The sequence below is a fragment of the Homo sapiens genome, chromosome 7 (assembly GCF_000001405.40).
Source record: "Homo sapiens chromosome 7, GRCh38.p14 Primary Assembly".
Lineage (NCBI taxonomy): Eukaryota > Metazoa > Chordata > Mammalia > Primates > Hominidae > Homo > Homo sapiens.
The window spans coordinates 43,493,488-43,508,314 of record NC_000007.14 but is presented as its reverse complement, the minus strand read 5'-3'; the positions used below and the strand labels follow the sequence as shown (position 1 = coordinate 43,508,314).

The window sequence follows — 14,827 nt, the reverse complement described above, 5'->3', positions numbered from 1 at the left end:
TCATGGCATTTTTTAAAGCTTGGCAATACCTGAAAAGAAGGACCTCCTGGGAGAATGTGATCAGAATCGCATTGGGGTGAAGACTGACAGCTACTGTGCTCCTTCTTGAGAAAAATCACCCCTGACCCTGAGGCTCTGGCCCACCCTTGCTTAGGTGTCTGCATAAAACTCCTGGTGCCTCACCCCTCCTCTCCAACAAAGGTGACGTAGAGCTTGTTTCGCTGGAGCTCTTTCCGCGAATAGGCCATCACCTGATTGAAGGTTCCCTCCAACAAATGATCCCGGCGAATAATGAGCCTGAGAAGGAGAAGGGGTGGTGAGCAGTGGCCCTGAAGTCAGGATGCTGGACAGGGTTCTAAGTGAGTTGTGAGTCCAGGTTTAGGTTCTCACTCCCCAGCCTCTCCAAAGAGAGAGGAAAGAGCAGGACCCAGGTTCCGTCAGTTCATCGAGGGATTATCTGAACACACTTTTCAAAACATCAGGAGCACAAGGAAAATGTGTACACTTCTCGTGCATTCCATCATATGGAACTACTTTTAAGATAATTCATTTTGATCAACTCATAGGATATTGCTTAAGATTCCTGAGTTTGGGTTCAGCTTTTTGAGATGAAAATAATAAACCCAGAAGGGAAAATATAAACAACATTTTACTTAGACTTCAATTACAAAGTTACCAAGAATTTAAATTTGACCAATGAGTTAAATTTTTTTCCCAAGAATAAGTGAAGGGAAATATGAGATTTTTTATTTAGTTCAAGATTTCTTGTTTTCTGGAAAGGTCTACCCTGTGATTTTCGACATGCCTTTGTCTAAAATCTTCTGTTCTTTCTCATTCTCTTTCCCTCTCTTACCTTCTCTTCCTGCTTCCCTTCCAATTTCTTAATGTCCTTTCCTCTTTCCTTCCAGCTTCCCAACTTCCTTCTTCCCCCGCTTCAGACCATAACCACTACCACACCAGAGTAGCCAGTCTCAAAAACAATATTACAAGGGTGTAGGGGAGAAAGGGATTGAAAAATCTACTGTCTGAATTCAGTGCCAAGCACTGGAGCACTCACTTAATTTTCCCCGGACCCTGACCAAATCCTTTGGCTTCCAGTTTTCTGTAGAAATTGCGGAGCTTGGCCTCAAAGTCTCTTCGGTAGGGGGAAGGGGCTCTTGCACTGGCTCTCTGTAAACCTGCAGAGAGAAGCACACAGAGGTCATCACTTTCTTTCTTCTTCTTCTTCTTCTTTTTTTCTTTTTTGAGAAGGAGTCTCGCTCTGTTGCCCAGGCTGGAGTGCAGTGGTGTGCTCTCGGCTTACCGCAACTTCCACCTCCTGGGTTCAAGCGATTCTGCTACTTCAGCCTCCCGAGTAGCTGGGATCATAGGTGTGTGCCACCATACCTGGCTGATTTTTTTTGTATTTTTAGTACAGACGGGGTTTCACCATGTTGACCAGGCTGGTCTCAAACTCCTGACTTCAGGTGATTCACCCGCCTTGGCCTCCCAAAGTGCTGGGATTACAGGCATGCACTACCACACCCAGATAATTTTTGTTAATTTTTGTATTTTTAGTAGAGATGAGCTTTCACTACATTGGCCAGGCTGGTCTGGAACTCCTGACCTCAAGTGATCCGCCCACCTAGGCCTCCCAAAGTGCTGGGAGTACAGGCATGAGGTCATCAATTTCTGTGGAAGAACAAATACACAAAGTGACAGTGGAGCAAGAGCTCAACAGAGGCACATTCTGGCATCTCCATATTTTTCTTCTCCCACAAGCCCTTCATTTCCATCACTCTCTCAGTGACTTTTATAATAAATAGAAATAATATACTAAAGTATAAAAATAATATACTACATTCATTTATGAGTTCTAATGAGAATAAATATTTATGTCTTCCTCTCTAATTCTTTCAAGTTGTATTTCTCTTAAAAGGACATGGATGAGCATTTTTCTCAGCTTTAATTGTACTTGCATAATCTAAAATAATTAACATAAGCTGAACTAGACTAAACTTTTCTTGTAAGTTGCTACAAGAAGTGATTGAAACTATAATGAGGTAAGTAGGACTTTAGTACATGTGTCCATCATGTTCCTGTATTGATATTGATGCTCAAATAAACATACCTGTACACAAAGGCTCAGAGCATTTAGGAGTTTATATTAGATTAGAGTTTATATTAGATGACCTTGCATCATAAGAGTAAAGTTTACAATAATAATAATTCACTAACTCTACATAGAGGAGAACTTTTGTCTCATTTAGAGTGCTTTGTAAATACTTTACTATATATACCTTTTAATTTAAAAAAGGATGGAAAATTAACATTCTTACCCAAGTTTTAAAGGTGGTCAGAATCAAGGCTTGCCCATTCAATAACCATTTATTAGTTACTTACTATATTCCAGGTACTAAGCTTACAATTTAGAGAAGACTGATGCTGGTAAACTCTCAGAAATGAGTATATAATACAAGTTACAATGATTGCTATCCATGAAGGAAAGAAAACCAGTTCTTTGAGATCACAGAATCTGCTGGCTAAGTCTGGGAAGGCTTCTCTGGGGACAATCTAAAGAATAAATAGGCACAAATTAGATTGCATGGGTCAAGAAAAGCTATGCTTTAACTAAGAGAGGAGATGAGCTGGGAGAAGAAGAGCATTCCAGGTGGAAGATCAGCATGTGCAAAGGTCCTGTGGCGGAATGGAAAGCGGTACTCCAGTTTGTCTGGAGCACAGAGTCCAAGGACCAAAGTGGTACAAAAACAAGGCCTGAGAGGTGGGCAGGAGCTGCATGAAACAGGACAAGGTACATTGTTAAGCAATTTTGTTTTATGCTAAGTGTAGTAGGAAGCCCTTGCATAGTGGCTGGCATGATGTCACTTGAATCATAAAAACATTCATCTTCCTGCAGAAAAGAACAAAACCCCAGAGGACCAAGGGGGATTCAAAGAGCTCAAATGGGACTAGGCTGGCGTCAGTGGAGATGAAGTGAAGTGGGCAGAGAGGAGATGTATTTAAGAGGCAATGAATTGGATACAGGTAGTGGAGGAGAGGTGGGTTTCAGATTTTGTAACTGAACACCCTGCGGTGACATTCACTGAGACGGGGAGGAGTAGAAAAAGAACACATTTGTGGGGGAAGAGCATGAACTTGGTCTTTGATGATAGTCCCTTTGTCTGGAGAGATACACAGTTTGAGTGGAGAAAAAAGCCTGGGTTTGAGACTTAAGGATGATAGAAGGGGAGGATGAGGCTGCGGGAATGGCCAGGGAAGTAGATGAGATGTCTGGAGTGGTGTCCCAGAAGGAAACTGAAGAGGGGATGTTGGGGGACAGCAGTTGGTCATGTTACACGCTGCCGGAGATTAGGAAGGCTGAGAACTGCCCGCTGGATTGGGTGGCCAGAGTTCATGGCGACCTTAGTGAGGACACCTCCTTTCGTGACCTCCAGAGATGACAGAGAAGATGTGTACAGGTTTGCTAGCCTTGTGGGCAGGCCTTTGAAGAAGTTTCTGCTGGATGGCTTCAACTTCTCAGTGAGGTAAAACAGGACGTCATTTGCTAGGAGAGAGGAAGGGTGCTGAGGGTTGGAGGCTTTAGGGGAAATGTTTGAAATAATAGTAGAGGAGATCGAAAAAATGTGCTAGAATTTTCCTTTGGGTGTTCAAGGTTCATGTGAGATGAGAGATGACTAATTTAGAATTAATAATCTGCCTTGTGAGGTGAATTTACCCAAGAGTGCCTGATTGCAGAAGTGGGGGAAGCAGACAGGAAGGTTCATCTAGGGGTGAAGCTCTGCCAGAGGGTAGAAACAAAACGGAGAGGGCCAGGGGAGTTCAGGGCATTGGCAAGGGTGCTATTGAAATGATGAACCGCAGAATCTACGCTGCATCAGGGAAAGACGTTAGAAAGGAAAGGAGAAAAGTCCGTGAACCAGAGGCCTTGATGAGGCCAAAGGGTGGTAGTAGGAAGGGTAGTGGATCAAGCACATTGGAAGAGAAGAGGAGGTTTGAATTAGCGATTGTGGAGATGATCACAAGGTCAGGAATGTGATTTTGGGAGTAAGTGGTTGAGGCAGGGGAGGAGAAAGTCATTGCAGACAAAGTCTAGAGACTGGGAAGCCAGGGAACGGAATGAGGGTCCCTGTCGATGTTGAAGTCATCCAGGAGGACGGAAGGACCTGCTTGGGAAGGAGAGGAAGACTACAAGGCAGGGGCCACAGGCCTTGAGAATGAGAAAAAGGTTGGTAGATGACAGTAACTGGGAGAAAGGGAGGGGAGGGATATGGCTGAGTGATAAAAGCAAGGAAGCGTTGGGGCCCCGCCTACCTGGGCCCCAAACACCTGGGCCTGAGGGAACCAATGGCCACCACTTGAAAAGAAGTGGTCTTGGTGGAATACCAGGTTTTGGGATGTACACAGAACTAGAATACAGGTCTGTAAGTGCAAGTATAATTTTCTGTCCAGCACATTTCAGTATATTTTATTAATTATGATTTTCACTACCGCTGGTACTATCACCTGTCCCCATGATGACTGCTGTGCATTTTTCAAATAATTTCTGCTTTACAGAGTACTTTGGCATAAACTTCATGATTCACCATCTCTGTAGCACCTGGGTAGATTTCATACCAGTCTAAGAGAATGGGGATTGTAAAGTTTAAAATCAACGTATTTGGATTACATATTCTAGGACCCTGTGGTCAATGCTAGAGAATAAAGAAGTACTTTGACAAAATGAATTGGATGATTACTTAGATTCACGGCATCAGTCATATCTCTATCAGGAAAGTTTATTCCTTTTAGAATATCCAAATAATTCTCATATAGGAAATAACTCTTCATTTACTCTTATTTTTCTATTTGCAATATGATATCTCTCCCATATAATGATGTTAACATCATAGTCTAGTATCAAAGTCTGTAGACCAAAGCATAGGCACATTATCAGGCTGGGACAATCTCTACAACATGGCAGACCATCATGCAGTCCTACAGCTTCTCCAAACTTTTCCCCCCAAACCCCTTACTTTTGTCTTCGCTCCCCAAAAGTAGGTCATCCTATGAGTGCTAAAAGTGTGTGACTGTATTGATGTCGGCTCCAGCAAAGCTCCTGGTCTTTTTAGGCAATGGGATTTAATTATGTTGTGCGTCAGAGGTAGCAAGCATTGCACATTTCCTTAACAATGCTGTTGGTACACTTGTTTGGAGGAAGTGACAACAGGGAGATACTATCTTGAAAACATATTTTAACGACGAGCACAACTACCTCTAAGAGGGACTTCTGAATGCTACAACTTGGAGGAACCAGACTAAAAGATACTCTAGTCTGGAGACCTACGGCAGTACTGAATGATACTAACTCTGAGTGCGACATCCCTTCTCAGAGACAAAGCTTATTACCAAGTTCTGTTTCTCTTGGGAATTTTACCACTGGCTTCAAAAACCATGCTCCAACCCTGGCCCTAGAGCTTCTGAGATAGGATGTTCCTACATGTTTCAAACTGATCTCTTTTACTTTAAATGAAACCTACAACAATGTGATAATGCAAGTCAAATACGAATGGAAAAATTCTCCAATATCTGGATCCAGTCTGGAGGTATGGATTTGACCTAAGCTCTTTATCTTGATGAATCCAGAAAATATCTTTTTTTTCGTTTGTTTGTTTTTTGAGACAGGGTCTTGCTCTGTTGCCTAGTGCTTGGAGTGCAGTGGCACAATCTCGGTTCACTGCAACCTCTGTCTCCTGGGTTCAAGAGATCCCGCCTTAGCCTCCTGAATAGCTGATACTAAAGGCGTGCACCACCACACCTGGCTAATTAAAAAAAATTTTTTTTGGTAGAGATGAGGTCTCACTATATGGCCCAGGCTGGTCTCGAACTCTTGGGCTCAAGTGATCCGCCCACCTCAGCTTCCCAAAGTGCTGGGATTACGCGGGTTAGCCATTGTGTCTGGCGAAAATATCTTTTATTCACTAAACAGTTCAACATATGTATTCTCTCACTTGGAATGGAAAATACCTGCAAAGAATTTTTGTACCACAAGTTCATTCTCATACATAAAGAAAACAGGAGGAATAATTTTGAAATGTGTAAGGAAATTCTTTGGAATCTTTGTGGAGATATAACAATGGTTCCTAGTAGCTGTATCACCAAAAGTGGTGTGCAATCGATTCAGAGTCACAAGGCAGAATGTTTCAGAAAGGGCTCTTCCGTTTGAAATGCTCGGAGAGTGACTTTGGAATGCAACAATTTAGAGCAGGGACAGTAACCTTTTTCTGCAAAGGACCAGAGAGTAAATATTTGAGGCTTTGCAGACCATGTGGTTTCTGTTGCTATTACTCAAGTCTGGTGTGAAAGCTAGCATAGAACAGGCATGGCTGAGGTCCAATTACACTTTATTTATGGACACTGCAATTTAAATTTCATACAGTTTTCACATGTCATAAAATACTGTCTTAATTTTTTTCTTTTCTTTCTTTCTTTCTTTTTTATTTTTTTTTAGATAGGGACTCTCTTTGTTGTATGGGCAGGAGGGCAGTGGTGAAATCATAGCTCACTGCAGCCTCAACCTGCTGGGCTCAAGGAACCCTCCTGCTTCAGCCTCCCTAGTAGCTGGGACTACAGGCACATGCTACCTCACTTGGCTTAGTTTTAATTTTTTTGTAGAGAAGGGGAGCTCGCTATGTTGCCCAGGCTGGTCTTGAACTCCTGGACTCAAGTGATCCTTCTGGCTTGGCCTCCCAAAGCCCTGGGATTATAAGCATGAGCCACCTGCCCAGCAAAACATTTTTTTCCCAACCATTTCAAACTGTAAACCCCATTCTAGCTTGGGGGGCATTACAAAAAACAGGCAGCCATTTGTCAAAACCTGATAGAGTGCATTTTCAATTAGGGAATTGGGAAGGCCGAGAGAAAGAACACACACATACAGTTGCCTTTCATTCACCTTCACTGGAGGAAACACACGTGGCCACTTAACAGGAGCTATTAGGCCAGATTCCTGTTACCTGGGGAGTTCTGAGGTGAAGAACAGGGTGAACATCGGGGAGAGAAGCTATACCCAGGGTGGAAGGCAGCCTGCAGGGGGACGTAGGACATAATCTCTTCTTCAAAGAGACTGCATATGAAAAAAAAAAAAAAAAAAAAGAAAGAAAAGAAAGTCAGTTTTACATCCCTGAGAAAGTGTTCACGAATTGGGGTAGCAGCACTTACACTTCTCACAAAGCAACAAAAGCAATTAGATTTAAATGTAGTACAGAAAGATAGGTACATGCTGCTTGCAAATTCTCAGTGTTGTTTTAAACCTTGATTAATCCTACAACAAAGTCTCCATCAAGTACTTTACGCAGCTCTTGCTAGCTCAATTGCAAATCTAAGGACTGTGATGGACACAGGTACAAGGGTGGGGTCCCACTTGCGTTGCAGTTACTAGAATCCTCTAGAACAAGCGGTGAGTTTTTCAGTCTAGGCCATTTTCAGGGTGGCCGTGATGGAGGAGAGCTGCCCAGGGAAGCTTTTCCAGAAGGATTTCAGGCCTAGCCCCCTACCTCAGCAAAATGACCAGATCCGCATCACAGGACAACTTCTCAAGCCCGTGATTACCCTCAGTCCGAATGTAATGGATTTTCTCCCTGAATCATGTGAGAAAGAAGAGGAAAATTAGATGCCAACACATAAACTCAGAAATACATTTTCTTCTGATCTCTTATTTCCTCTTCCAATACTGCTGAATAGCAATGTCCTAACGTCCTATGTATTTTGCAGAATTCTAAGTTTGTATCACAGGCTCTCAGGATGCTCTATGAGGGATGGCTTTTCTACAGACTTGCACAGGTACAGAAGCTGAGGAACACAGCAAAGTTAGGTCCTCAGGTAGCTAAGACAGTCAGGAGTGGAGCTGGGTAAGAGATTGCTCCTGAAAGACTGTTCTGGGGCGGGGCACAGTGGCTCACACTTGTAATCCCAGCACTTTGGGAGGCTGAGGCAGGCAGATCACGAGATCAGGAGTTCAAGACCAGCCTGAGGAATATGGTGAAACCTTGTCTCTACTAACAATACAAAAATTAGCCAGGTGTGGTGTTGCCTGCCTGTAATCCCAGCTATTCAGGATGCTGAGGTAGGAGAATCGCTTGAACCGGGAGGCGGAAGTTGCAGTGAACTGAGATCGTGCCACTGCACTCCAGCCTGGGCGACAGAGGAAGACTTCATCTCAAAAAAAAAAAAAAAGACTGTTCTTGGCTCATGTCGTGTTGGAAGCCATGGGAGGAAAGAGTGAGTTGCGGGGTGAGTGTCTCTTGAGAAATCTTGTGCCTGATGGAAAATTTATGATGCCACATTGGGCACAGAGGGGGCCCGGCCCCAAGAACCAAGAACAGTCTCCCAGGTCAGTCAAGGCACAGGCATCAATTTTGTCTCTGTCAGCTACAACTCGTGTATTCTGATCCTTTTAGACAACCTCCAACTCCAACTCGGCAAATTATTTCAAGTAAGTCTATGGATAAGTAGGATTTTTTTGGATCAAATTAACTTTTTAATTTGCTTCCCTGATGTTACTCAAATATTACAAACACCATATCCAAGAATCTTTCTATCGTATGCATGCTTCAAAGGAGTTAATATTTTTTGCCTTTTTTGAAGAGATGCAGCAGAAATAGGGAAAATTAAGGATGTTTTTTTTTAATCTTTAACTTTTTTCTTTTCTTGTTTAATTTTTACACTTTGAGGTAATTTTAGAGTCATGTGTAATTATAAGAAATAAACAGACAGATCCTGTATACCCCTCACTCAGTTTCTCCCAGTGGTAAAAGATGGATGATTTTCTTTTCTTTTGTTTTCTTTCTTTCTTTCTTTCTTTTTTTTTTGAGACAGAGTCTTGCTCTGTTGCCCAGGCTGGAGGGCAGTGGTAAAATCTCAGCTCACTGCAACCTCTGCCTCCTGCGTTCAAACGATTCTTGTGCCTCAGCCTCCTGAGTAGCTGGGATTATAGGCATGCACCGCCACACTCAGCTAGGTTTTTGTATTTTCTTTAAAAAATTTTTTATTTTTTTGAGACAGGGTCTCACTCTGTTGCTCACTCTGCAGTGCAGTGACCTGATCACAGCTCACTGAAGCCCCAACCTCCCAAGGCTCCAGTGATCCTCCTGCCTCAGTCCCCCCATGTAGCTGGGACTACAAACGCACACCACCAGGCTTGGCTAATTTTTGTATTTTTAGTAGAGACAGGGTTTCACCATGTTGCGCAGGCTGGTCTTGAACTCCTGGGCTCAAGAGATTCGCCTGCCTCAGCCTCCCAAAGTGCTGGGATTACAGGCTTTAGCCACTGAGCCTGGCCCAAAAGATGAATGAAAAAAAAAATCTATTTTCCAAAATACTGCAGGTACAACTTTTTCCTCTCTTTGATTATATTAATATAAATCCAAATCTTCATCATAACTTAGAGATTTTCAGGCAAAAAATATAGTCAATTTGACCTTTTGGTATGGAGATCTTTTTTTTTAAGGCAAGGGAAGATTTTGAGCCTCTACAAAGATAGACAGAATGGGATTAAACAGGGAAATGCACTCTGATCCAACTTCAGTGCGGGTGAAGCACCGTTGCAGGAAATGGCATCACCAGAACCTGGGGGGTGTTCACAGTGGCTTCTTTGACTGGGTTGAAAAAGGGAGCAGCAGTGTCCACATGTCATTTAGCAGGGAACATGTGAAAGCCCAGCAAAGAGAACAGAACATCCCCATCTCTCTCATCACCTTCTTCTCCCTCTGCCTATGTCCTCAACCCCAGCCCTGGGCTTTCTCCTCCAAATCCTGACACCACCTCACAGCCCCGTTATTTGGAAGATGCTCTTGAATCTTCTCTAATTTAATGATTTTGGCCTTATGAATGACCTCAAATCTATATGCTCTCCCAATGATAATGTACCCTTGGGCAGGTTATCCTCCTGCCCCAAGGGATCAACATCTGGTTAAGCCACTGGCCTCCCTCCCTGCGGGAAAAAGAAGCCCAGAGAGGGCCATCTCCACTAGGGCAGCAAAGTGCAGTCCCCAGTTTAGAAAGTGCCACCCAGCACAGTGGTTCTATCGTGGCACCACCATATGGACCACATCCAGGTGTCTGAATGCTAAGCCCGATTTTCTGAGAGTTTTGGTGGCTCTCCACCAGACATTATATCCTCTGTCATGTCTGGCAACATGTCATGCATAGCCAGTGGTGTAAGGGACCTCCAGATGCCCCTGGGACTCCATCCCAAAGTGCACTGAGAACTGAGGAAGCCATCTAAGGGCAAGAATGCCAGCTGTCTCTCCTACATATATCCCTTGACCATCGGGAGAACTCCAGAGCACACTTTCCCTAGAGTTCAGGACAGGACAGGCGACTGCCTCCTTGACATCTTGACATTTGAAGCCGCTTGTGGCTTCAAAGACCTCAAAACTCAATATCCAAAATAAAATCCTTGACATTCTTCCTCTCCTCAAGCCAGTTCCTCCTCCACTCTTTCCCATCTCAGTAAATGATGCCATTATCCATTCACCTGCACAAGCCCCACACTTGGCTGTCATTCTTAATTACTCTCTTCTCCTCACCCACCATGTTCAAGCTGTCATCAGCTCCTGTTGTTTTTGCATCCACAGTATCACCCCAAACTGCTCCCTTCTCTTCATCCATATTTTCCCATTATCCACACGACCATCATCATGGATGAATATAATAGTCTCCTGCATAGCCCCTGTTCCATCTTATGCCCCTCCCCAGCCTATCTTTTCCCCACAGAGCTGCCTAAACATTGCATCTGTGTTTTTAACGACCACAGCTGCAATCATATTTCATTGGTGGTCATGAAAAACAGATGAAATATGATTGCATCTGTGGTCACTAAAAACACAGATGCAATCATATTTCTTTCCAGCTGAAAACTTCTCAATCACTTCTCAAATAGAATCGCAATTCAAATAAAATGTTTCCGGTTGGTGATAGGGCCTCCCTCTCCAACTTCACCATGGTAGGTCTCACCTACCCTCCCAATCTACTCCTGGGCCACACTAGCTTTCTTTCATTTTTCACCTACATCTAAGCTTTTCCTGCCTCAGGGCCATTGCATACTCTCTCCCTGATCTCCACTTTGCATCTCAAGGGACAATGCCTTCTCATCCTTCAGGTTTCAGCTTAAGCATCACCTACCTGGAAAAGCCTTCCCTGTGTTCTGTTTAGGATGTAAGTCCTCTTCCTCTGCACCAGCATATTATCCACTATTGCTGAATTCTAATCATGTTCTTCATGGCACTTAACATATTATGCAGCTGTATATGGCTTAAAAAAACAAACCCCAAGCTTGTCTATTATCTGTCTCCCTCAGTAGATTGTAAATTCATTGAGAATTTACAGGTCTGTTTCGCTTGCTACTGCATACATAGCCCTGGGACAATCCTGATTCAGATGAGTGACACAATCAAAGCACTAGTTGAAGGACCACCTCCATGCCCCTTGAAGATAACAGATGCCATTAACCTCTGGGTTTTCTGGCTCCATCCCCTTCTCTACATGTGGCTTCCTGCTTTTCACCGCAAGTCACTGCTGTCAACTGGACAGTTTTCTACATACTCAAACCCAGCAACTGGCTTTGCAGACCCAAGACAGAGACTCCATGACTCCCTGAGAATAGCAATGGCTGAACAGGGGTCACCATCTGCTCTTGGGGACCACAGAGGAAGCCATGAGTTCTTCTGGGTGGGGTCCTGAGGAGAGTGGTATTCTCTTCAACTCCTGAACCTTCAAAGTGGATCTGACTCACCCTGACATGGCACTCAGGGGCAGGTGGATGCCTCCTCATGGAAAGCAGGGCCTGGCTTCCTGCATCTCTTAAGCTTGACCTCCTGAAGAACAAGTTCTTGCTCTTTGCTTTCTGCTGTTTTAGTTCTATCATCACATAGTCCAGTTTCTGATAGTCATCGTGAGCCTTCTGTTTTTGATGAAATATTTGGGTTCTCAACCTGGGTCCACAGTTTCCTTAGGGTCCATTAACTATTTGAAATTATATTCAGAGGTTTATATTTATATGTGGAGGAGAGTCCATAAGTGCTTCCATCAGCATCTCAAAGGAGTCCATAACCTTAAAATAGGTTATTAGTTTCCATACTAGATAATTTCCAAGTTTTTTTTCCAATTCCAACGTGGCCTGATTTCAAGTTCCCCCAGCTCTGCAAAATCATAATTGTACAATCCCATATTGCAACAAAACATTTAAAGTTTCTTGGATTGTTGTAATGTGATATATAATAGGGATGAAAACAGTCTACTGCCTTTTGGAAATACATTCCACTCACTTATGTAGGGAATTACTTAAAAAAAAACCTTTTCTAATGATTAAAATGAGACTTTTGTGTCTTTGGTGAGTTGAAATTCTTCCACAAAGCAAGCAGTGAACTCACTACTTAATGGTAGAATCAGTAACGTAAAGAATGTTCAAGAACAACCACGCGTCAAAAACCCTTAAGATAATACAACATCCCTGGAAATCCCTTGAAAATTCCCTTGGGTTGTTAGGTGAGTCAAAGAGCAGCCCATGAATGAATGACCCAGGTGGCTGAATATGACTCTGCCTTCTGCAGCAGTGCAGTAATGAAACCAGGGGAGAGAATTCTTAAGAGTTGAACATAAATGAAAGTGGCCATTCATCACGCTAAAGATCACTTGTTCATGCTAAAGATCTTTCATTCACTCTAAAAGTAATTGGTGTTTCCTATTTTCAAAGTAGAGGACCAGGTTGTAAGGGGCAGAGTGGGCACAAAGACAAGGAAGAGAAAGGCCTTGCTCTAAAGAGCTTAGAGTGCTGTAGGGAGACACAAGTAAATGACAGAATACAAGAGATCTAAAAATATCTTCGAGGCACAAAAAGCATACTATCAAAGCAAGACAAAAGAAATACTAGGAAACCATCATTCTCAGCAAACTAACATAAGAACAGAAAACCAAACACTACATGTTCTCACTCATAAGTGGGAACTGAACAACGAGAACACATGGACACAGGGAGCGGAACATCACACACCGGGGCCTGTTGGGGAATGGGGGCTAGGGGAGGGATAGCATTAGGAGAAATACCTAATGTAGATGACGGGTTGATGGGTGCAGCAAACCACCATGGTGCATGTATACCTGTGTAACAATCCTGCACTTTCTGCACATTTATCCCAGAACTTAGAAGTATAATAAAAAAAATTAAAAACAAACAAACAAAAAAACAAATGCCATGGTAACATCAGGAAGTTCCCACCCCCTCAAAGAAAAAGAAATACTAAAGCTTGCCTAGATCACTGAAGTTTTGCTTTTGATCTGAGCCTTTAAAACGGGATGAGATGTCCTTAATAGGGAAGTCATTCCCGGAAAGACAAAGGCAGGAGAGTACGCAGCCTGTGTGGTGGAGGTGGAATACCCTGGAAGGAAAAGCTTAGTGCAGGATGGAGAGTTAGGTTAGGGCCAGACTTTGAGACCATGGACATTATGCTTAGAAATCTTGACTTTAGGCTGGGTGAGGTGGCTAACACCTGTAAGCCCAGTACTTTGGGAGGCTGAGATGGGTGGATCCCTTGAGGTCAGGAGTTTGAGACCAGCCTGACCAACATGGTGAAACTCCACCTCTAATAAATGCACAAAAATTAGCAAAATTTTGCTGGGTGTGGTGGCACATGCCTGTAGTCCCAGTTACTTGTCAGGTTGAGGCTCAGGAATTGCTTGAACCTGGGAGGCAGATGTTGCAGTGAGCTGAGATTGTACCATCTCACTTCAGCCCAGGCAACAGAGCAAGACTCTGTCTCAAAAAAAAAAAAAAATCTTGACTTTATTTCATATGTGATGGAAACCATGAAAGCTTTTTTGAAGGGTAGGGAGGTCATGATTTAATCTATGCTTTACGTAGGTAACTCTGGTTATGATAGGGTGATAGGGAATATTTTAGGAGAAACCCCTGTATGGTCCAGAAGAGAGATGATGAGCACCTAAACTTGAACCATGGCAGGGAGAAGAGAAAATGAGGATGGAGGAGAGAGTATGAGGAGGTGAATGTTTAGGTGTGGAGGTGGAAGAAGAGGGAGGAGAGGAGATCAGGGACAGCTGGGAGGGTAGTGGCTCTAATTTACAGAGTGAAAATACAGGGAAAAGAGGTGTCAATGAGGGGGTGTTGGAGGGGAAAGAATAGTGAATGATCCATTCTGGCGGGAGTGGCAAGGGTTGAAAAGCAGAGACTACTTGAAGCTGTCAGTGATTCCCCGAGGAAGTCGGAGTATGGTATTGCAGGTATCAGCCCCATTCACAAGACTGCACCACATGGGCAGGGAATAATGAAATGCAGCCGTTGATGGGATTCTAGCCTGCCCTGCCTTAACCTTTACACATCCTCAAGTAAGTATTGCAACCATGCCCACTTTGTGACCCCCATTTGGGAGACTAAGGGCAGAGAGTTGAATAACACGCCTCCATCAATAGTCCCTACCTGTTGGAGTGAAAATTCAAACGTCAAAGAGATGTACTCTTAACCCCCATGCCTCTCCAGATTTTGGAACGTTGGAGAGTAAACCGAAGGAAAAAGATGTTTGAATATTTTGGTGAGAAAGCAGGATTTAAGTTCAGGGAATATTTTCTCTTTTTATCATTTCAGATCGCTATCCCTTCCACATGTGATTCAGAGTTTCAGGGCACTTGTTCAAAAATGACCCTAATGAAGCATAAGATGTAAGTAGTTAGAACACACAAGAAACTTTTTGTTTGCTTTTTTATTTTCGAACACGGCTGCTCAATATTTGGTTTACCGTTCAACAATTATATTTCAAAACTAAAAGTAATTTATACAGTG

General features: G+C 43.2%; 1 protein-coding gene across 19 annotated transcripts in view; it reads right to left on the bottom strand.

Annotated features, from left to right (window-relative positions):
* The window catches only part of HECW1 (HECT, C2 and WW domain containing E3 ubiquitin protein ligase 1), a 453,355-nt gene that overhangs the window by 57,687 nt on the left and 380,841 nt on the right, over positions 1–14,827 (bottom strand). For all 19 annotated transcript variants that reach the window (NM_015052.5, XM_017011883.3, NM_001287059.2 and 16 more), the window contains 4 exons: positions 7,533–7,616; positions 6,993–7,102; positions 1,058–1,178; positions 184–297 (listed from right to left, as the gene is read on the bottom strand). In NM_015052.5, the coding sequence (NP_055867.3) occupies positions 184–297; positions 1,058–1,178; positions 6,993–7,102; positions 7,533–7,616 (429 nt within the window). The remainder of the gene's footprint in view (positions 1–183; positions 298–1,057; positions 1,179–6,992; positions 7,103–7,532; positions 7,617–14,827) is intronic.